Below are 23455 nucleotides of genomic sequence, written 5' to 3'. Positions count from 1 at the left end.
GCTTCTGAAAAAAAGAAAGAGGAAGCCATTTTGACTTAGCTCTGAAAGTAGAATCCTTCAGGCGGGTTTCTTTGGATTAGGTTGAGCAGTTTACTCCTCTAATGAGATGGCCCATGGTGATTTAACTTATCTCTCCTGGTGGCTGCCATAGAACAGACACTGGCTAAACCTTTGTGGTGTCTAATGTTGATGTTGAGGGCTCTTCTTAAATGTGAGAGTGGCACAAACCATTTTATTGGAACTCCTTGTGCCCAAAAGTTTACATTGTTTGTTATCCTAAATAATGGAATTCCATTCCAGGCTCTGTCATGTCATGCATCTAGAGAAGTGATCCATATGCTTTGGCACATTGCAGCATATACCATAATGGAAAACCAATATTCAAAGGGGTCTGTGTTAATAGCAGCTATAGCATAACCTAGAGTGAAAAGAAGAGGTAACTGGAGTAGGTCCCTGTGTAACTGTCCTTGTCATAGTTATCTAGCTGATCTCAGCCTGCATCCTAAAATACGAGATTAGGACACTGAACTTTTAATGTTACTATATGAATCATTAATTTCAGTGATGCTATCTATGCCCTTTATCAGATATATGCCTATCTGACATGTTTATGTTGTGGTTATATATCAAAATAGCGAGATGATTATTTTATTATTGTCCTTTTTTTTCCTGTTAAAAAGACTGTTTGATTCAGCTGACTAATTATTACAGTAAAATGGTCCAACTCTTTTTAGCCACTAGCATCATTGTAGATTTATAACTCTTTCTCATTAATAATAAAGGTTCACATGTGTGGACTGTGGATCATGAGAGGAAAACATACAGTATACTGGTAATGTGGGAAATATTATATATATATAATATTTATATGATATATATAAATATATATATAAATAAATATATATATATCATTGCCTAATTGAATGAAAGTGATTTTATTTCCCTCACTGCTTTTACTTAACAGCCATATTTCACATTACATTCTAGAAGGGTGAATATTCATTCTTTACATGTAGAATAAAGTCTTTAGAGCCCTGAGTTTAGCCTTGTAATGATGAAGGTCGGTAACATAAGGATAGAGCACCTTAACGGGGGTTAGTGGAGAGGCAAATCTAAATAATACCTTGAGTCCAATTTCAACCATTGGAATTTTATAATGAAAAGTAGCATACCAACTGTGATCAGCTTTTATTCAAAACCCCAGTATTCGAAAGTACTTTTCAAGTTTATCAAGGTAGAATTCTCAAGGTCATATTTTCCATTCAGTGCAGTTATTTCTGATGCTTCTTTGTGTGTGTAAGAGAGAGAAGGGGTCTTGCTCTGTCACCCAGGCTGGAGTGCAGTGGTGCAATCATGGCTCACTGCCGCCTTGACCTTCTGGGCTCAAGCGTTCTTCCCACCTCAGCCTCCCAAGTAGCAGGTGTGTGCCACCACACTTGGCTAATTTTTTAATTTTTTATAGAGACAGAGCCTTCCTATGTTGCCCAAGCTGGTCTTGAACTCCTGGGCTCAAGTGATCCTCCCACCTCAGCCTCCCAAAGTGCTGAGATTACAGGTGTGAGCCACCGCACCCAGCCTCTGATGCATCTTATCAATTATTGGGAATCTAATCAGAGTAATAGTTTGGGTTTAGTTAGTCTTATTTGTGATTTATAAGGATAGCATATGTTATAAAGAAATTACGTCTGTTATAAAGAAATCATTCTAATAAACTAAACAATTACATTAAACTAGTTTGTAAGCATGTTCTTGTTTTATGACCTTGAACATACATTAGAACATCGTAACTCAGTTTTTGTACCTAAATAAATATGATACCATATTATTAAATGCAAATTTTTAAAAACTTTAAAAAGTGAAACATCACATGTTAACCTCAAGGACTAGCTGTAGCAGCAATCCAGTGTGATCACCTGTTCTGTCCTCACTGTACTTGTTAACAGGCCTTAAGGATGCTATACCCCAGAAACCTCATACCGCTGAGCAGATGGAGACCTCTTTTTTTCAGGGAGGATCTATTGGCATTCAAATTGTTAGGCATGATGAAGGGTCTCCATTACATATCTGTCTCCAAATCTAGCTTACCTGGATGGTGTTGCTTGTTTTTGTCTTACAGATCCCCTATGCAGCAAGTTTGATCAGGAAAGAAAAGCTTGGCGCCCATCTCAGCAAAAGCTAAAAGGTAAGATCACCAGAGGAAAGAGATTTTCTTAACTCTCTGTATTGTTGTGTGCTTGAACATATTCTTTATTGATGTGTTTGAAATAGCCCAAGGGATTGGTAAAGTTGCATCCTGTGTTTGAGTCAATATACCAATAAACTTCATTATGTCTGGGGATGGGACTTCCTAAATGAATGACCAAGTACTTCTTATAAATTCCATGGAAAATTCCTATAACTAAAAATTCTGTATTCAGTCTGCAAAAGTGATCTTCTTTCCGTTTTAAGATTTTCTGCTCTTTATGGTTCTGACACCCCAGTTACTGCCCCAAGGAAACCAAAGTGTCAGCAGTCATCCTCAGGGTGTCTCATCTCTGTCTCTCCTTCGCTTCCAAAAAGCCTGCCTGAAATCTGACTTTCAGAGAGTTACTGCAGGTGGTAATATGAACAACTGGGGACAATACAGACCTTTGAGACCTTCTGCTCTAGGAATAGTAACTAATCTTTTCCCTAAACCAATAATAGTTTCTCTACAGCTGAAGCCAGATTCAAGGTCATATCAGTTTAAAAGAAAATTGAAAAGACAATTATTTTGGACTCTTAAGGAAAAGCAGACAGTGAAAATTCAATGGCTATATTCAGAACATACCGAAGTATTTGAAAAGAAACTTTTTCAGCCCATGGAAGAAGACACATGTAATTATTAGAATTGTGGGAATGCAAAAACTAGGACATTGTTTCTGTAACAATATATTGGGATGACCTAACAACTAGGATTGCTAAATCAGGGGAAAAAACCACAGACGCAAAAGGTAGCATTTGTTAGTGCTCATGGCCAGCTAGGACCGCAGCCATTTATCAGTTTGATCCATTCCCATCAGAATGACTCTTCCCACTCCTCCCCTCTGGAACATATTTTCAACTCAATAGAATTTGTTGGCAAAAAGAACTGTGCAGGCTCATGGTTCCTTTTGTTCCTTCACCTCTCTTCTGCCTATCACAAATTTCCTCTATCAGGTACAAATGACTTTTCTTGCCATTATCTTTATTAGTAGTAGTCTTCAGTATTTGTCTTAAATAATAATAATTATGTTACATTTCATCAGGTGCTTAAAACCCTTTACAAAACAGTCTTTCATCCATGTGCTTTCCCTTAATTTTACACATGGGGAACTGAGGTTTACAGATAAGAGATGTGACATTTTATGTTCATGTTGCAAAGCCAAGAAGAGATTCTGGGGGCCCTGATTTTGGATCTAGTGCCTGCCTCTTCCTAATGCATGGACTTATTGTTCTTGGTGAGCAGATGATACTGCAACAGAGGTGCTCAGAGAGTAAGTCATTCTGTTTCCATCTCTATGAAGTTATTCACAAATGCACCCGTGAGGTTGGCTCTGTTCTATATATTAAAGTATTTTTATTAAGTCTGAAGTTGACTTTGGGCAATTTCTTTCTCAGTGTAGTAGACCAGGTTTGCACGAGCAGTGTGAAATGAAAATTTTAGAACATTTAGATTCCACTGAATTTTAACTTAGAATATCAAGATAATTAAGGCAAGAATGGTCCAAATTAATTCTGATAAACTCCATATGTATAATGGTTGAAAATGTCAAACTAATTTTCTTTCAAGAGAAAATATTAGGATGTTTTTAAAAATAACCTTCTTATTCAAAGTTTATAAATCATAAAGTCATACAAATCATGAGGTTTACGAATCAAAACTCAGTGAATTGCACTCACTCAGGGACACACACAAACACACACATACACAAACACGCAATGAAAACAAAAACAAAAAGGAAACTCAGTAAATGTTCACGATGAGCTCACTTAGCTTTCCAGCCCCTGATAACAACCTTGTGCTCTTGCCCAGCTTCTCCCACTCCCTACCCCCAACGATGGTAAAAACTTTGTCTGTTTTTGAACTTTATGTAAATGACGTTGCATAGAACATTCTCTTGTGTCTGGCTTGTTTTACTCAGCACTTGTGAGATTCATACATTAGAATGGGGTTTTTGTTGTTTTGTTTTGAGACAGGGTCTCACTCTTCTACCCAGACTGGAGTTGCAGTGATGCGATCACAGCTCAATACAGCCTTGACTGCCCTGGCTCGAGCCATCCTCCTATCTCAGCATTATAGGCGTGCACGCCACCATGCCCAGCAAATTTTTTTTATTTTGTAAAGACAAGGTCTCCCTATATTTCGCAGGCTGGTCTCAAGCTCCTGGGTTCAAGCAGTCCTCCTGCTTTGGTCTCCCAAAGTGCTGAGATTACAGCCATGCCCAGCCTTAGAATGTGGTTTGATTTATACTTAAGAGCTTCAGTAAACTCTCTTTTTACTCCTTACACTTCCCCAACCCATCTTCCCTGTTTGTCAGACCTGAGCCCATTTTGCACCTACAAATTAAGACTCACTGCCCAGAAACTACACCTCTGATAGTGACCTAGCATATGGCTAGGTGGGAAAAAGAAAAAAAAAGATTGATTTGTGTTTAGTAACTAATGCTTCCTCCATGCTGATTTTGTTTCCATCCTTGCAGACAACAGGGATTTCTCTAAGTAGACCCTGGTGCTTTCAGAAGATTAGTGGTTACTTAAATGCTTAGCTAAATCAGCCAAGCAGAGAATCATGACTGTATTGTTAGAGGCAGTCTCTGATTCTCAACATGCCAAGTCTGCAAGGAGTTACCCCAAGAGAGATTACAAAATAAAAATCATTACACCAAGGGAGAGAGACACATTCTGTCTTGCAGAGTGACCACAGGTTTCCAAATTAGGTACTGATGCATTAATGTCTTATGCAAGAGTGACCCTTAAGGTAGTATGCAGTGTTCTTGCCACCCAGTGGATTCCAATATGACTATTAAGAGGAGGAAGCTTTTCAAAACCACAGGCAATCCACTTAATAAGCTGAGCGAGTACTGCCACATATCACTGATCTGCACATTTTTTTTTTGTCCTACATTAGAACATAAGAAATTCCACGTTGCGTCAAAATAAAGATCCATGCAGGCCAAGATACTTTAAGAGCAAAATTGTTGTTCTTAACGATATCAACCTCAAAATTTAGGCATATACACTGAATACTCTTAGCTTTCCCTTGATAACGCCATAAAGATCCATTACCCTGGATTTATCTGCACCTTTCTTCAACCTAAGCATAGTCCCCATTGGGACAATGAATTCTATTTGTTTAGCTACCAGCTGTTAAAGTGTAGTTTATTTTATTTACCTTCAAACTACCTCCTAAAACAAGCCCTATTAGATTAGACATTGTACCGCTCTTCGTATTTGTCTCATTATAAGCTCATGAGTACAATGGAAAGGATTTGAAAAATACTTCAAAATGTTGCAGGCATTATCCTTTCACCTGGGCCCATTTTTAACACCAGAATTATTCCCGACGGCCTTCCTTACATCTAGTTATTTCTGTGACGCACTTCCTGCACAGATAACCCAGTGTAATCTGTGTGAAATCTGTCCCCAAATAAAAATAGTATGATGTTAACACTAATTTAATTATTACTTTACATTCATTTTCTCCCAAACACATTTAAACATTTTGCAGTTATCATTGATGTAACTGGTTGAAACACCCACACCTTTCACAGACAAGAAGTAAACCATTTTACATAAGTAGGAAGCGAATCAGGGAAATGTCTCATTCATAGTCATGCAGAAACTCATTGGCCAAACTGGAAATGATAGTAATGATCATTTATTGAGCACTAACTATGCCAGATACTGGCTAAATACTTACTGTGTTATCTTTACAATGCTGTAAGGCAGATCCTGTTATTACCTCCATTTCATACTTAGAAACTGAGGCTCAGAGGAGTCACATAGCTCTTAAGTGACAGATACAGGATTCAATCCAGGTCTATTTGACCCTAAAGCCTTCTCCCTGTCTTCCTTGGGTCCTTAGCTGGTGGTGAGGGAGACTGGGTGCCAGATCTGATGCCATTTCTCTGTGTTATCTTGAGTAACATCATTTAATCTCTTTGAGTCTCACTCTTATCTATAAAATGTGGATGGCCAAACCTGATCAAAATCTCTACTAGCTCTAAAATTTTGGCTGTCACTTTTGTGTGCCAATTTTCTGCTATATTCTCTCTTTTTTCCCAGAAAGGGGCCACGTTCATGAAAGCCAGCCCAAGACCACATGTAACACCCAAGGGCATGACCCACCTATTTTTGCCTTATGTCTGCATTTTCTTAATCACTAATTGCTACGTTGCATCTTTCTGGAGAGTCTGGAATATTATTTTTTGTTGGTATTTTAACTATATCTACCTCTTTGGTAAACTCATTTTTGTTTCACTTCTGGAATAATTACTACGAAAGTAACAACAAGAGTCTTTTAAAAAAGGATATTGGATTTTAAAGGAACATTCTGTGTCTTCCTTTTTGTATAGATCAAAGATAAAGAGGGGGAGTGGTACATTCATTTCTCTCATCTTTAGTCAGACATAAGAGGTTCTTTTAAGAATCTCCTTAGAGAATAATGGTGTGCCCCCACTGTTCTAAGGACTTTATGTCGATTATCTTATTTAATCTTTGGACCAACACACTGAGGTAAGTATTACTGCTTTCACCCCCCTACAGCTGAGAAGGCTAAAGAGACAAGAGATGAGTAAGTTGCCTGTGGTCTCACTGCTAGGAAGTGGCAGGATTTGAGCCAGGCTGGGGCTGGCTCTGCATTCCATACATTGTCTGCTCTCCTCTGGTTTGTCACCTAAAATCATGGCCTAATTCACATCTTGTATTATCAGTTATAAATATGCAGTTAATAACCAATCCAATCATTTTATTGATTTTGAATCACAAAACCTCCACTCATACTTCTATGTTGCCCTGACACCACAGAACAAGAAAAATAAACGTAACTTGGGCCATCCAATCAAAACCAGCAGAGCACCAGAGCATGAAATTCTGTCTGCCCCTTTCACTGCAGGCTGCTTTTGTCTTTGCCCTACAACAAACCCCAGCTTCTAAACCCATCTAAATGGCTTTACTGTGAAAAGCACACAGCAAACCAGCACACTCTTGTTTAGTATTTCTGGTTTGGCTTGATATCATCAGAGATATATAACCTAGGGTAGCAGACAAAATGTCTTCTCCTAAGGAGGGTATACTAAATATTACTTTAAATGTTTTAAAATTATCTGATTATATTAGGTTCAGCTTGTCATTCTATGCTTTTGTCTTATCCCAGGTGCACAGAACTACTTACTCTTGTTCTCTTGTAAGATACAGCCTGCCATGGAGCACTTCTGACCCGTGTTAAAGACTGCAGATCGAAAGGGCTTGGGAATTAAATACAAAATCAGGTTCAGGAGAACCTAAGGACAAGTGACCTCAAAACAGCATGGACAACCATGTAAAATAGACTGTAGCAGCCATTCATTAGTGGGGGGAGGGGGGAGCCAACCAGAGCAGTCAATGCTTGTTGCATCTTTTGGTGGAACCAAAGTTCGAGTCTTTGTGTTTTTAAAGGATAGCTGAACCCAGAGCATGGGAAGTGCTGTTAGCCAGTTGGGATGGGAAATCAGCGGATGGTCCCAGGCAGTCTCAGTCCTGCACACATGGAGAAAGCAACTCTACAAAACTGTCTTCTCTTTTTGAAGAAGTGATTCTTGGTGGAAGAAAACACAAGACCCATCCTAGGAGTGGGGATAGCGTTTCAATGGATGGGAAGGCACCAGCCGTACAAACCTGCTTTTCATAGCAAACTGGACAGACTTACATGTGGCCCCTTCCTCTCTGTACTTTGCCTGCTGTATGAATGAGGATTGTATTCCTTTGGAAATATTTTACAGTTTAATATTGAGTGTAATTAAGAATATAATCATGTTATCAAAAATGGCATTTAACTCTGTTGTAGTTTCTTTAACATTCATGTGGATAAAAAAGTCTATAATAAAAAAACTATGAAGTAATGGTTGTGTTCATGTAGTTAAATGCACATTTGCTTGAGGACAACTAAGAGAAATTCATACTTTTAAAATTTTTTTGGTATAAAAATATTTGAATAAATTATTTTTGAAAACAGAATTCCTTCAAAAATGATTATTAAAGGCTAGCCCAGCGTTTGGTCATTGTCAGCATCTGGACAACTCCTCCATTGTTTTAGGATCTTTGTATAGGTAAAGGAATGTTCTAAATTCCTGCTAGGTCTTCCAGTAGTGTTGCTGATAGAGCCCATCGTAGGCCTTCCTACTTACTGTGATGTTAAATCCAAGTCCACAAGATCATATTATGCCCCAAATTCTGCTTTTCAGATGAGAGAGTTAAATAGTGAACACTTTGCAGCCAAGATTTCTAAGGTAATGTGGGTTGCACAGAAGTCCACCATGGATGACCTCCCAACCTGAGGTTGCCAAAGCCCATCCTAACTGAAAAAACATCTCACCATTGGCATCCCTCAACAGATTTCAAAACAGCCTTCAGATGCATCGCCATGAGATTTAATACTTTTTCCCCACCAGCTTTATTACCATGAACTATCCCAAAAAGCTTCACAACTTACCCTTGAGATAAATGCTCTTATCTTGGCTGTGACAATAAAAAACCAAAGGAGGGATACTCATTTGTGATCTTCCTAGCCTATGAAGGATGAGAAGCTGCATTCGAGAAGGAATGTAAACCAAGTCCCAGAGTCTGGAAACAGGTTCTCAGTGACCACTAGCAGAAACTAATATGAAGATGCTGTGACAAAAAATGTTCTCTTTGAGCTGTTCTTCCAGGAGGGGCCTGGGTGCAGGTATGAGTCTCACACAGTCCTTTGGACATGATACATGTTTCTAAAACTGGTAATTGTACCTAGGTGTGTAATTTGAGCAGTCAGGTAAGTGGAGAATTTTCTCCGATATAAGCATGAAATTTCACAAAGGGATGGAAGCCCTGTGGCTCTTAGCTTTGTACTTTAAGCCAAGGATATCAGAGGTGGCAGAAAATCATCTGGGAGGTCACAAACCTGGCTTCATGACTAGCCACCAGGGGACAGCAGAGGTCATTTTCTATAGAATCCAATGCAAACTCTAGGACCAGATAGCTTCTCAGAGCAAGAGCAGCTTGGCCCAGGAGTTTGGAGGGAGAATAACAGATTTACAGATAAATTTAAGGTCTTTGTCCTGCAGCTGCATCAACTGGCAGTGTAAACCGGCCTGAAATGTCATTCTTTCCTTTCCAATTGCAACTTTAAATATCTATGAGTTATTAGTGGTAAAATATCAGCAAATGATCTTGTAGCAAAAGAGAGATAACCCAATAACTTGACCAGTATGTCTGCAGCACTCTGGACATATTAACCATGGCATAACTCTGCATTGAGTTCATGGCCAAGTTCAGTACAGAAAACCATTTGCCTCTGCTGCTAAGAATGTTAAAACTATCGCTTCTCGGCCTTTTGGCTAAGATCAAGTGAAGAATGTTAAAACTGCATTGGTGCCTTCCAGTTCTCCACCTAAATTCCAGATTCCAAAGAAGCCCAGCTATACATGTCTCTGAGTGCCAGGGGACTCCTGTTGACCTTACTCCCATGCCTTAGAGTCTCCATTCATTACAAGCACTAGAGCCTAACAATCCTCCGAGTAACCATAAAGCTACACGCCAAAAACCCAAAGCTTCAGAGAAAAAGAGTCAAGGAAATCACATATGTGATGTGGAAACATGTCATTTACCCCATGTGTTTTCTCATTAAGAAGAGTGAACATCTTTTTCCTGTTCTAGTAATGTTTATTGCTTTTAAGTTGGAGCAAAAGAATTCTTCCCTAAAACTGGATATAATTGTGTTATCTGAGCTGCCTTGTGGAAACAGACAGGACATCCATCTCAAGTGCTGCATGGGGCTAAAAATAAAGCTACTCCTCAGAAAGACATGTAAAAATTCTTGGTGTACAAAATGACAGCAGAAAAAAAATGCTGTGCTCTTTTCTTTGTTTTATCATGTCAAAATTCCAAGGTCAATCCAAATACTAGCTAATAAAGCATGCAGGCAATGCAAATACAATTCTCTATTTTAATTCCAAATTAAATTATAAAATCAGAAAAAGCATCAGCAAATCAAAGCAAAAATCCAGGCCCGAACAATAAAGTATTTCCTGTTGGGGCAGACCAGACATTTCAGACTGATGCTTTCCATCCTCAGAATGCCTGAGTAATTGCTTGTCTGTTTGCCACAGGCAAGGAGAGAGGGACATCACATCCCAATTTCCTTAGATTGAACAATGAGTGTGGCCTCTGCTCTGTGGGAAATAGAGAGAACTCTCTCCTAGCTACAGGGGATATGATCAAACTGATAGGAGCTCTTTCATTTAAGAGTTAAGAGTTAAGACGGTGTTGGGGTGGTCAGCAGTGAGAGAGGTTAGAGAAAAGGAACACTGTCTGAGTGGTAAGGATGTGTAACCACTGTCATTTAACTCCCAGCACTCTCCATGCTACGGGCAGAGGGCCTTTGTCTCTCTCTACAGAGTTGAGCACACAAAGTCTGACCATCTTACAAGATTCCTTATAGGCAACCCAAACCATGTTTGTAATAACAGACTCTTGTGGGGGAGATGTGTACTGTAAACTTTAGGAGGACAGAAGATGTTTGTTTCAGCTCACTACCCTCTCCCTAGTGCTTAGCATAGTCCCTGGCAGGTAGCAGCAGCACAAAACAGTTTTGTTAAATGAGTGATTCTATCTCCTTTATTTTATTTGAGCCAATCACAGAAGCAAATCAGTTCACTGTTATCGATTTAAGCTCTCTCAAAGGTTGACTTCTCATCTGATTTCAAATGATCATAATGTGGCAAATGCTAGTTGCCATCCTGTAATACTCATTCTCAGGTGGTAATACACCTAATTGAAAGATTACCTTCTCCAGGTTTACTTGCAGTTAGACATGGCCATGTGACTATATCCTGGCCAATGGGATGCAGGTAGAAACATGTGGAACTTTCAGAAAGGTAGCTTCAAAAGAGCTTTGACTTAAATATTTATTTTTTTCCTTTCCTTTTCTCTCTTTTCTGATGTCTGTAAGATGGATGGAGGCCCAGCAGCCATCTCAGGCCATGAGGTGATTTTGAAGATGAAAACCATATACTGTTAATACTATGGCATAAAAAAAATAATAAAAGCCAGGGTCCTTGGCAACTACTGAACCACCACTCCAACTCCAGACTGCCCATTTCCAAATTTATTTTATGTTGGAAGAAAATGAGGTTCTATCTTATTTAACCACATTACTTTAGATTTTCTATTAACTCTGATTATAAAACCTTTTGCTCTATTTGAGGGCCCCCATCAGCCAACAATTGCATGATTTCTTATTTATGTGACAACTTTCCAATGCATATTTATGCTGTTTATTTCATTTTATGAGCTCATTGGCCCTTTGATTTAGCTAAGGGTATTTGATATGGAGGCTAACTAGTTGCAGAGTCAACCCTAAATCCAGTTCTTCTTACTGCCATGGCAAGCTATTCTTGTCTATTTCTTGACCTCACCATCACACTAAGCCAACTGTGTAACATCTCTGATATCTCCCATTGCAGTATACGCAGGTGAAGATACGGAAAGGGGATGAACCTGAACTTGGCTGGCTTTCCAGGGTAGGATAGGAGACGGACTAGAAAAGTAAACTGTCCAAAAGGCCTCATAGGTTCTCATATGACACAAAGAAAGATGTGAGCAGGTATGTAGCCAGACCCCAACATGGGAATAGATCTCAGCAGCACAGGCAAGTTCAAAAGTAGGAGGTTGTCAATCACCATCATCCATGATACAGGGCCCTGCCACTCACATTTCACTTACGGGCAGGTTCTGTCCTTGGGGAAACACACCATTGAGAATAAATAGGTGGCAAGAAGCAAACCGAGTCCTAGACTCAAAGACATGATGGGCAGACAGCTCTTTGGCTCAGGAGCCCATGTGGGCATTGGCTCTCCCACTCAGAGGGGCAGCAAGGTAAGCTTGGGAACCCAGGAGAGGGCTCTGGGACTTCCAGATTTGAGCCTGTAACTACCACACAGGACTGGGAGGAAAAAAAGCAAAGTCTTTCTAAACGTAGCATGACTCCAGTCTTGATTTGGGACCTGAAGCAGTGTTGGAGCTTTAGGAAGAGGGATGAGAAGGGGGCTGGTTTTGAGCTAAGAAAGGTGCTGAAAAACACTGAGAGCTGACAAGACTTCTCTGCAGATGGCCACTTATTTCCATACCAAGATGAATATACATATAATTTAGAAAAAATAAAGTTACCTAAAGTAAACAATCATTCAGAAAAGCCATGACTCTGTGCTGAATTAAGAACTTCTCTAAAAGCATTGTTAACACCTGGAGTTTTCAAATAATAAAATTCATTCTTCACATCCAACTTTTACATCATCTCACTATTAAGGACAGTGGCTTCCTGGATGATTGTTAATGACAGTTTTCTTTACTATATTTTAGACCATTTAGCAAAGTTTATTGATTTATACTTCCTTGTAATTAGTTACAGTGATTGAAATAGCTTTTATGGCCCTCTAGGGATTGACTTTTTAAAGAATCAACATTTCCCCCAAATTGTGTGTTTTAAAACACGGTTAAATACTGTTTGAATTCAGTACTAAACTATCATTGGTGAAACTGTAATTTTATGTGTAGTTGCTTTTTCATCCCTCTGCTTATATGGCACTATCATCCAATTACTTGGCAGCCAATAATAATACCAGCAGCCAACTTTCATTGAGTGATTACAGTAAGATGAACATTGTGCTAAGTTTATGCACAATGCTTAATGCATTATTTCATTTAATCCTCTCAACAACCCTATGAAGTAGGGACTATTTAATTGAAATTTAAAGGAGTTAAGCTACTCAGCTGATTAAGTAGAAAAGTAGGAGTTTGAAACTAGGGCGATTGTGACTTCAAAAATCTCTGCTTTTAACCATTACATTGCTCCCTACACAGGTGAGTTGGCAGTGCCCAGACTTTCACAATCTGAAGGGTGCTGGAAGACCCCTCTTAAACAAAAATATCTCCCCTCGCTAATCTCACTTGAAGCTGAAATTTCACAACTAGCATGATTTCTTTGACTAAGTATTATATGTTTCTAGTAAGATAAACACTCCAAGACAGTGCTATTCAAAGTGTCTTCTGTCAAAGAGCTAACACTATAAAGCTCTTAGAAGAAAATATAAAAGTAGATCTTCATAACCTTGGGTCAAACAATGTTTTCACGCATACAAGACCAAAAACACTAGTGACAAAAGAAAAAATAAATTTGACTTCCTTAAAGTTACAAACTTTTGTGCTACAAATGATAACATCAAGAAGGTAAAAGAAGACCAGCTCACAGTAAAGGGAAATGTTTGCAGATAATATATCTGATAAGGGACTTGCTTTCAGAACACATAAAGAGCACTTACAACATGATAATAAAAAGACAAATAACCAAATTTTAAAAATGAACAGAAGACTTGAATAGATATTTCCCCAAAGAAGTTATATGAACACTGAATACATGAAAAGATGTTCAACACTATGAGTTATCAGGCAAATGCAAATCAAAACCACAATGAAATACCATTTCACATCCACTAGAATGGCCAATATCAAAAAACAAAAACAAGTATTGGTGAAGATGTAGGAAAATTGGAACTATTATACATTGCTAGTGAGAATGCAAACTGGTGTGCAGCCACTCCATAAGCAGTTTGACGGTTCCTCAGAAAAGTAAACAGAATTACCATATTACCCAGCAACTCCCCTCCTGGGTATATACACAAAAGTTTTGAAAACAAGTACTCAAATACTTGCATAAAAATATTCACAGCAGCACTATTTGCAATAGTCACAAGGTGAAAACAACCCAAATGTGGTTTATCCATAAAATGGAATATTACTCAATCATGAAAAGAAATGAAGTATTGACACATGCTACAACATGAATGAAACTTAAAAATATATCCTAAGTGAAAGAAGTCAGACATAAAACGTCACATATTGCATGATTCTATTTTTATGTAATATTTATAATAGGTAAATCCATAGAGACAGAAAGCAAACTGGTGGTTTCCAGTGTCTGTTTAGGGATAAGGAGACAATTGAGAGAGCTTGCTTAATGGGTACAGAGTTTTCTTTTGGAGTGATTAAAATGTTTTGGAGCTAGACAGAGGTGGTAGTTTTACAATATTGTGAGTATATTAAATGCCACTGACTAGTACACCTTAGAATGGTTCCACATAAATTTTATGATTGCTTTTTCTATTTCTTTGAAGAATGTCATTGGTATTTTGACAGAGATTGCATTGAGTCTGTAAATTGCTTTGGGTAGTATTGATATTTTAACAATTTTAATTCTTCTAATCCATGAATGTAGAATATCTTTCCATTTCCTGGGGTCCGCTTCAATTTCTTTCATCAGTGTGTTATAGTTTTCCTTCTATAGATCTTTCATTTCTTTGATTAAATTAATTCCTAGGTATTTTATATATTTTGTAGCTATTGTACATGAGATTGCTCTCTTGATTTTTTTCAGATTGTTTGCTATTGATGTGTATAAATGCTACTGATTTTTGTATATTGATTTTGTATCCTGCAATCTTAGTGAATTTGTTATTCAGTTCTAAGTTTTTTTGGTAGAGTCTTTAGATTTTTCTAAATAAAAGATTATGTCATCTGTGAACAAGGTTAATTTGATTTCTTTCTTTCCAATTTGAATGTCCTTTATTTTTTTCTCTTGCCTAATTTCTTTGGCCATAACTTCCAGTATTACGTTGAATTAAAGTGATGAATCTGGACATACTTGTCTTGTTCCAGATTTTAAAGGAAAGGCTTTCAATTTGTCCCCGTTAATGTTAGCTGTGGTTTGTCATATGCGGCCTTCATTATCTTGAGATATGTTTCTTCCTTTCTTTCTTTCTTTTTTCTTTTTTTTTTTTTAGGCAGGGTGTTACTCCCATTGCCCAAGCTGGAGTGCAGTGGTGCAATCTCAGCTCACTGCAGCCTTAACTTCCCAGGCTCAAGTGATTCTCCCACCTCAGTCTCCCAAGTAGCTGGGACTACAGGCACGCACCACCATGCCCAGCTAACTTTTTGTATTTCTAGTAGAAATGAGGTTTTGTCATGTTACCCAGGCTCGAGGTATCTTCCTTCTCTACCCAGTTTTTTGAGAGTTTTTTTTTTAAATCATAAAGGGATGTTGAATTTTACTGAATGCTTTCTCAATATCTATTGAAGTGATCATATGAGTTTTGTTCTTAGTTCTGTTAATGTGATGTATCACATTTATTGATATGTGTATGTTGAACCATCCTTGCCTCCCTGGGATGAATCCCACTTGATCATGGTAAACTATCTTTTTAACATGTTGTTCAATTCAGTTTGCTAATATTCTATTGAGGATTTTTGCATCTATGTTCATCAGTGATACTGCCTTGTAGTTTCTTTGTTGTTGTTGTGTCCTTGTCTGGTTTTGGCATCAGGGTAATACTGGCCTCGTATAATGAGTATGGAAATATTCCCCCTTCTTCAGTTTTTCTCTCTCTCTCTCTCTTTTTTTTTTTTTTTTTTTTTTTGACATCTGGCTCTGTCACCCAGGCTGGAGTGCAGTGGCACAATCTCGGCTCACTGCAACCTCCACCTCCTAGGCTCAAACCATCCTACCCCCTCCGTCTCCTGAGTAGCTGGCACCATAGGCACATGCCACCACACCTAGCTAATTTTTGTATTTTTGGTAGAGACAGGGTTTCACCCTGTTGGCTAGGCTGGTCTTGAACTCATGAGCTCAAGCAATCCACCCATCTCAACCTCCCAAAGTGCTGGGAGCCACCCTGCCTGACCTCCTCTTCAATTTTTTTTGAAGGATTTAAGTATAATTGATATTAGTTCTTCAAATGTTTAGTAGAATTCAGCAGTGAACCATCAGGTCCTGGGCTTTGATGGGAGACTTTTTATTATGGCTTCAATCTTGTTACTCATTATTGGTTTGTGGAGGTTTTCTGTTTCTTCGTGGTTCAATTTTGGTAGGTTGTATATGTCCAGGAATTTACCCATTTCTTCTAGGATTTTTATTGGTGTATAGTTGTTCATAATAGTCTCTAATGATTCCTTGTATTTCTGTGCTCTCAGTTATTATGTCTTCTTTTTCATTTCTGATTTTATTTGAGTCTTCTTTCTTTTTTGCTTAGTCTAGCTAAATATTTTTAAATTTTGTTTATCTTTTCAAGAAACCAACTTTTTGTTTTGTTGATCTTCATATTGATTGACTTTTTAGTCTCAATTTTATTTATTTCAGCTCTGATCTTTACTATTTCTTTACTTCAACTAATTTTGGATTTAGCTTGCCCTTGCTTTTCTAGGTCCTTATATTTAAAGTCTTTCCACTTTTTTGATATAGGTATTTATTGCTATAAGCTTCCCTCTTAGTACTGCTTTTCCTGTATCCCATAGATTTTGGTATATTGTATTTTTATTTTCATTTCTTTCAATAATTTTTTAAAGTTTTCTTCTTAATTTTTTCATTGACCCATTGATCATTCAAGAGCATGTTGTTTAATTTCCATGTGTTTGTGGAGTTTCCAAGGTTCCTCTTATTATTGAGTTCTAGTTTTATACCACTGAGGTCAGAAAAGATACTTAATATGATTTCTGCTTTTTAAAATTTGTTGAGACTTCTTTTGTGGCCTAAGATATAGTCTATTCAGAGAATCTTCCATGTGCCGATGAAAAGAATATGTATTCTGCAGTAGCTGGATGACATGTTCTGTAAATGTCCATTATGCCTATTTGGTCTAGTATGTAATGTGTCTTTGATGATTTTCTGTCTGGATGATCTGTCTTACTACTGAGAATGGGGTGTTGAAGTCCTCCACTATTACTGTACTGCAGTCTGTCTCTCCCTTTAAATCTATTAATGTTTGCTTTATATACTTGGATACTCTGGTGTTAGGTGCATACATATTTATAATTGTTATATACTCTTACTGAAATGACCCCTTTATCATTACATTGTTATATCCTCTTGCTGAAATGACCCCTTTATCATTACATTGTTATATCCTCTTGCTGAAATGACCCCATTTATTATTACACAGCAGTCTTCTTTGAGTTCTTATAGTCTACTCTTTTTTTTTTTTTTTAATTGAGGCTAAGTCTTGCTCTGTCACCCAGGCTGGAGTGCAGTGGCATGATCTCGGCTCACTGTAATCTCCACCTCCTGGGTTCAGGTGATTCTCCTGCCTCAGCCTCCAGAGTAGCTGGGATTACAGGCATGTGCCACCACACCCAGCTAATTTTTGTATTTTTAGTAGAGATGGGGCTTCACCATGTTGGTCAGCTGGTCTCGAATTCCTGACCTCAAGTGATCCACCCACCTCAGCCTCCCAAAGTGCTGGGATTACAGACGTGAGCTACTGCGCCCAGCCAGACTTGTAGTCTGTTTTATCTGAGTTAAGCATGGCTTCTCCTGCTCTTTATGCTTTCCACTTGCATAGGATATCTTTTTTCATCATTTCACTGTAACTCTATACTTTGCACTCTGCACTTTAACTCCATCCCCACAACACTTTGATTTTTGGTTGTCTCAATCTACATATTTTTACATTGTCTATTTCTTAACAGGTTGCTGCATCTACTACTGTTTTTGATAGATTTAGGCTTCATACTAGAGTTATGAGTGGATTGCACACCACAATTACAGTATTAGAATATTTTGAATGTGTTTGTGTACTCACTTTTACCAGTAAGTTTTATACCTTCAAATGTTTTCTTAGTGCACATTAGTGGGTGATATGGTTTGGCTCTGTGTCTCCACCTAAATCTCATGTTGAATTGTAATATCTAATGTTCGGGGAGGGATCTAGTGGGAGGTAATTGGATCACGGCGGCAGATTTCCTCCTTGCTGTTCTCATGGTAGTGAGTTCTCATGAGATCTGGTTGTTTGAAAGTGTGTAGCACTTCCCCCTTCACTCTCTCTCTCTCCTGCCATCTATGTAAACATGTGCCTGCTTCCTCTTCACTTTCTGCAATGATTTTAAGTTTTCTGAGGCCTCTGCAGCCATGCTTCCTGTACAGCCTGTGGAACTGTGAATCAATTAAACCTCTTTTGTTTATAAATTACTCAGTCTTGGGTATGTCTTTATAGCAGTGTGACAATGGACTAATACAGTGGATTATTTTTTCATGTTGAAGAATTCTCTTTAGCATTTCTTGTAAGACAGGTCTGGTGGTAGTAAATTCTTTCAGCTTTTGCTTGGGAAAGAATTAATCTTTTATATTGAAAAGATAGCTTTGCTGGATATGGTATTCTTAAATGGCAATTTTTTATGTTTAAGCACTTTGAAAATGCCAAGCCACTCCCTCCAGGCCTATGTGGCTTCCATTGAGAAGTCTGCTGCCAGATGAAATAGAGCTCCTTTACATGTTATTTGCTTCTTTTCAATCATTGCTTTTGGCATCCTCCTTTGTCCTTGACTTTTGAGACTTTGATTATTACATTGGGATAGTCTTACTTGGGTCAAAACTGTTTGTTATTCTCTGACCTTCCTGTGCCTGGACATTTATATCTTTCTCAAGTTTTGAAAAGTTTTCTATTACTATTTCCTTGGGTAAACTTTCTGCTCCCTGCTCTTGCACAACTCCCTCTGGAACACCAATCATTCTTACATTTGAAGTCTTTTGAGGTAATTTTCTATATCTTGTAGGCAATCTTCATTTCTTTTCATTCTTTTTTCACCTCTATGTATTTTCATATGGCCTATTTTTGAGCTCACTGATTCTTTCCTCTGCTTGATCAATTCTGCTGTTTCCTCCTACACCTTCCTCTTTTGTTTTTCTGCCTCCTCTTTGTCTTCCTCTTCAACTTCCTCTCCTTCTTCTGCAACCCCCTCTCCTCTTTGTCTTCTTCATCTGGAACATTGAAGCTAATCCATTCTGGAAAGAGCTACTCCCCTTAGTTCCCCTTCATGATCCATAAAGGAAAGCTTAGAGCCTCTCATTCTATGAATTTAGGGGTCTTTGTATCTTTCAGCCACAAAGATGACCTCATGATGATGGCTTCTTCCTCTGAGGGTCCCAGGGCTCTTCACTAAACGTCATCTCCATTTCTGCACATTCCCGCACAATAGTATCATGTGAAGTGGGTTGTTAGAAGCAGCAAATGGGAAATGATTAGGTTATCAATTTTTTCAAGCCACAAGAGCCCAAAATGGAGCTGTCAGCACTAGTAAAGAATAGTTGGCTGAGCATGGTGGCTCACACCTGTAATCCCAGCACTTTGGGAGGCCGAGGCGGGTGGATCACGAGGTCAAGAGATCAAGACCATCCTGACTAACATGGTGAAACCTCATCTCTACTAAAAATACAATAACAAAATTAGCGTGGCTGCGGGTGCCTGTAGTCCCAGCTACTCGGGAGGCTGAGGTAAGAGAACAGCATGAACCCAGGAGGCGGAGCTTGCAGTGAGCTGAGATTGCGCCACTGCACTCCAGCCTGGGCGACAGAGCAAGACTCCATCTTAAAACAAAACAAAACAAAACAAAACAAAACAAAACAAATAAAAAAACAGAATAGTTGTTTTGCTACAAAGAGAAAGACCTTCCTCAAAGCAGATACTAAAGAAATCCAGATAAATGCCCCTAAAGTGTCACCTCTTCAACTAATGACAATCCTCAAGCAAACCCAGACTTGTAGTCATTCACCATGCATTAGGAAAGATTTTCAATGAGTAAGATTCTGAAACTGTGCCATCTTACCAATAACCCTTCTCTGAAATGCTAAAGGCAGCTCTACAGGATGGCATAACTGTGGTTCTGCTTAGGGTCATGGAACAGACAGACCTCCCTACAGATCCTTTCAGGAAGAATCACGAATAATAACTACCATTTATTAAGAACTTACCAAGTATCAAGTACTAAATACTTTATTATATAATACAATAACCCCATAAGATAGGGATTCTTACAACCATTTTACAGATCAGGAAAGTGGGTATCAGAGGGTTCAAGTGATGTGTTCAATAAATAAAATGAATAGTCCACCTGGGATTTGAACCTAAGGCTCTTTGATTCCCAAACTCATGCTGTGAATCAGTAAGCCAGGCAATAAAGAAGCCTAAGTGAGTGAGTACAACAGAGTGAGTGAGTGTCGGATAGCACTAGTAGGCAATGCTTCATGGAGGAGGTGAGATTTAATCTGTACCAATAAGACTTTGATTAGCAAGGAGGAGGGTAAAACCATTCATGAGTATTCATCTCTTCCGTTACTACACAAAGTGTATTTTTAGGTATGGATACTGTGGTCATTGTCATGTTATACTATTGGCAAGGCTATTTCTCTGTAAGTGAAGGAGCAAGATTTCATCTGAAGTGTAAAATATTGGATTATTTCTTCAATAAACAACTGAATGACAGCTAGGTGCCAGGAATGGTGCAAGGTACTGGGCTTAGGAAAGCTTACATTCAAGATACATGCTGTGCAGTGAAGAATACAAATATTTATGATGCAGCAGGAGTGCTGTGGTAGAGATAGACAGAAGATGCTTTGGAAACATAAAGAACATCTGACGTGGACTGGAGGATGAGGAAAGGCTTCTTTCTAACATCTTATTTTCATCCTTCTTGGTACACTTTGGCTAGAGGGGGTGATACATGGACTGAACATTTGGTCAAATAAAGTGTGAGTGCAGGGGAATGGGTGGCAAAGATGGGGGAAGGAGGCTCTAGCCAAAGGAAGCTATATCACATTAGGGTACTCCCATGGGATTTAGTTAACTATTGCTGAAATAAATCACTGTAAACCTTAGTGGCTTAAAACAATGATGTATTAATTTTCATGAGTCTGTAGGCAGATTGGGCAGTTCTGTTGGTCCCACTGGGCTCACTCCTGGCAGGTGGGTGGGAAGTGGGCTACGCTGAGACAACTGGGATAACTGGGACTCTCTTTCCATGGTCTTTCATTCTGGGTTTTCTCATGTCATGGGGGTGCCAGGGCAGCATTCCAAGAGCAAAGGCAGATGCTATAAGGCCTCTTGAGGTTTAGGTTCCAGAATTTGCACAACATCACTGCATCTGCATTCTATTGATGAAAACAAGTGCCAAGGCCAGCTCAGATTCAGAGTGGAAAGAGGAGCTGCAAAGAAGTTGTGGCCATATTTAATCTCCCATACATGTCACACCATGTCATCACCTCTGAAATGCTACATTCAAATATCCTACTTTCTAATCCCAATCACCCATTCTTTCTGCATTTTCATCCACCTCTTCAAGACTTCCAGTCCCCGATCTCTCCCTCTTCTCAGCTTCTTTCTAACTTTTCTTTTCTGCCAATGCAAGTAGTTGATCTTCTGAGCTCTCCTCTTACCTGACCCCATCATTCCTACCCAGGGGGTGGGGGTGGAGGTTAGGCAGGACTGAAATCACACAGTCAAGAAGAAATCACACAAGCTACATGAATTGGCAGATTGGTCTCATCTACTCTCACACCTCAGCTCTCAGCTTCACCTGTCAATGTTTTCACCTGTTTCAGGTCAGTTCTTCTCCATCTAAAGCTAGTCCAAAACAGTGCTCTACAATCTCCTTTCTCAAGCCTAGGCCCTCATTCTCAGCAGACAGTGCTATCCCCTACTTGACTACTGAGACAAAAGTTATCAGACTTGACCTCTGAACTTCTTGTTCTCACCTACAGAAGTATCTACCTCACCTTTTCCCTTCAGTCTCAAAAGATGACTTTTCTCCTTGTCCGATTGAAATATTAAACCCTCTGCTGTGCCCTTGGCCCTAGACCTGCATTTGAATTCAGGGAATCTGAATTGAAGACATATAGAGTGAGTAACTGGTGGCGGGAGGGCAGAAACCAAGACACAAAGAGAAAGAAGCAATAGGCAGAAGCCATGAGGCAAGAAGAGTAACTAATAAGCAGCAACTGAGAGGAAGCAGAGGCTGTGAGTCATCTGAAGCAACAAGGCAAACAGGAGTCAAGAGAAGGTGATTGCCAGAGCCTGGCCTAGTCAAAACAGAGACAAGCAACACCAAAGTCAGTAGAAATGGCATACACAACCAGAGGGAGCTACAGACCCATGGCCGGGCTGGAAGCTCACTGGCTATGTCACTTCCCAAGCTCCATTCCTGCTTTGTGAGCCCCATTCTGTGGTGTTCCTGGGTCCTTGTGAGGTCTGGATATACAGGCAAGATTTCTGTTTTTATTGTTGTCATAAATATTTTTGAATCAACTCCCATTGCTTGAAGTAACCTGAATAGACCTTTACAAATAAATGCTTAACACACCATCTGTGGTCTCACTTTTTTTTTTTTTTTGAGAGGGGGTCTCGCTCTGTTGCCCAGGCTGGAATACAGTGGTGCGATCTCGGCTCACTGCAAGCTCCACCTCCCAGGTTCATGCCATTCTCCTGCCTCAGCCTCCCGAGTAGCTGGGACTACAGGCGCCCGCCACCCCGCCTGGCTAATTTTTTGTATTTTTAGTAGAGATGGGGTTTCACCATGTTAGCCAGGATGGTCTCCATCTCCTGACCTCGTGATTCACGCCTCTGCCTCCCAAAGTGCTAGGATTACAGGCGTGAGCCACCGTGCCTGGCCTGTGGTCTCACTTTTACTTAGGCTATGTCTGAAGCCAGAAGAGAAAAAAATCTGTGTTTCCTGCTCAGGGAAAAGTATATTAGAAGAAAATCGTGTGGTTTTTCTATTACTTAGAAAATACAAAGCTCTTCCATAATATAACAGGTTTTCAGGGTCCTCAGAGTCCCCAAATTCTAACATCTATAAACATCCTTCTTAATATGCTTTGGTTTCTTCCTCTACTCTCAAACCCCAACTATTTTTCCTGAGTGCATACATGGTTACCTCAACAAAGATGAATAAGGTGATATTTATAAAGAAAGATCTTTTCCTTAATAAGCTACATAAATAACAACAGACGTAAGAAAGCCCCTAGGAGATACTGATTAATTCTCAGAACTCCTAAGAGGTTTCCTTCTTTAACATTAAGTAACAGGGAACAGAAATCTTGGCAACAACAGATGGGTGTTCCATCTTCAGGAACAGAACTTTTTATTCCAAACTCTCAATAAGCCAAAGCTAATTGACCCATGTAGCTGGTCCAGAACCAAATTGAATTAGGATAACATTCTCAAGCAGCATAGCCAAAAGCTTAAAGTTAATACTACAAAGAAATATATGGCCTAATGTTTCATACCACCACTTTTATCTTGAAAATTTTTGATGCTACCTATTGTCTACAAAATAAAACTCAAATCTTTACCTGTCGTTCAATGTCTTATATAATGTGGATCCAATCTACATTGCCATTTCATAT

General features: G+C 39.0%; 1 protein-coding gene across 2 annotated transcripts in view, besides 1 other annotated feature; it reads left to right on the top strand.

Annotated features, from left to right (window-relative positions):
* SKOR2 (SKI family transcriptional corepressor 2) overlaps positions 1–8099 on the top strand; it is a 45492-nt gene extending 37393 nt beyond the window's left edge. For both annotated transcript variants that reach the window (NM_001278063.4, XM_047437757.1), the window contains 2 exons: positions 2117–2182; positions 7376–8099. In NM_001278063.4, the coding sequence (NP_001264992.1) occupies positions 2117–2179 (63 nt within the window). In that variant the 3' untranslated portion in view covers positions 2180–2182; positions 7376–8099. The remainder of the gene's footprint in view (positions 1–2116; positions 2183–7375) is intronic.
* Positions 21956–22250: an enhancer, noted in NCBI's record as "tiled region #3693; K562 Activating non-DNase unmatched - State 13:Ctcf". NCBI's record gives its function as "activates a minimal TATA promoter and a strong SV40 promoter by Sharpr-MPRA in K562 cells {active_cell/tissue: K562}" and the evidence as "EXISTENCE:reporter gene assay evidence [ECO:0000049][PMID:27701403]".

Source organism: Homo sapiens, chromosome 18 (genome assembly GCF_000001405.40).
Source record: "Homo sapiens chromosome 18, GRCh38.p14 Primary Assembly".
Lineage (NCBI taxonomy): Eukaryota > Metazoa > Chordata > Mammalia > Primates > Hominidae > Homo > Homo sapiens.
This window is presented reverse-complemented; position numbering and strand designations above follow the sequence as displayed.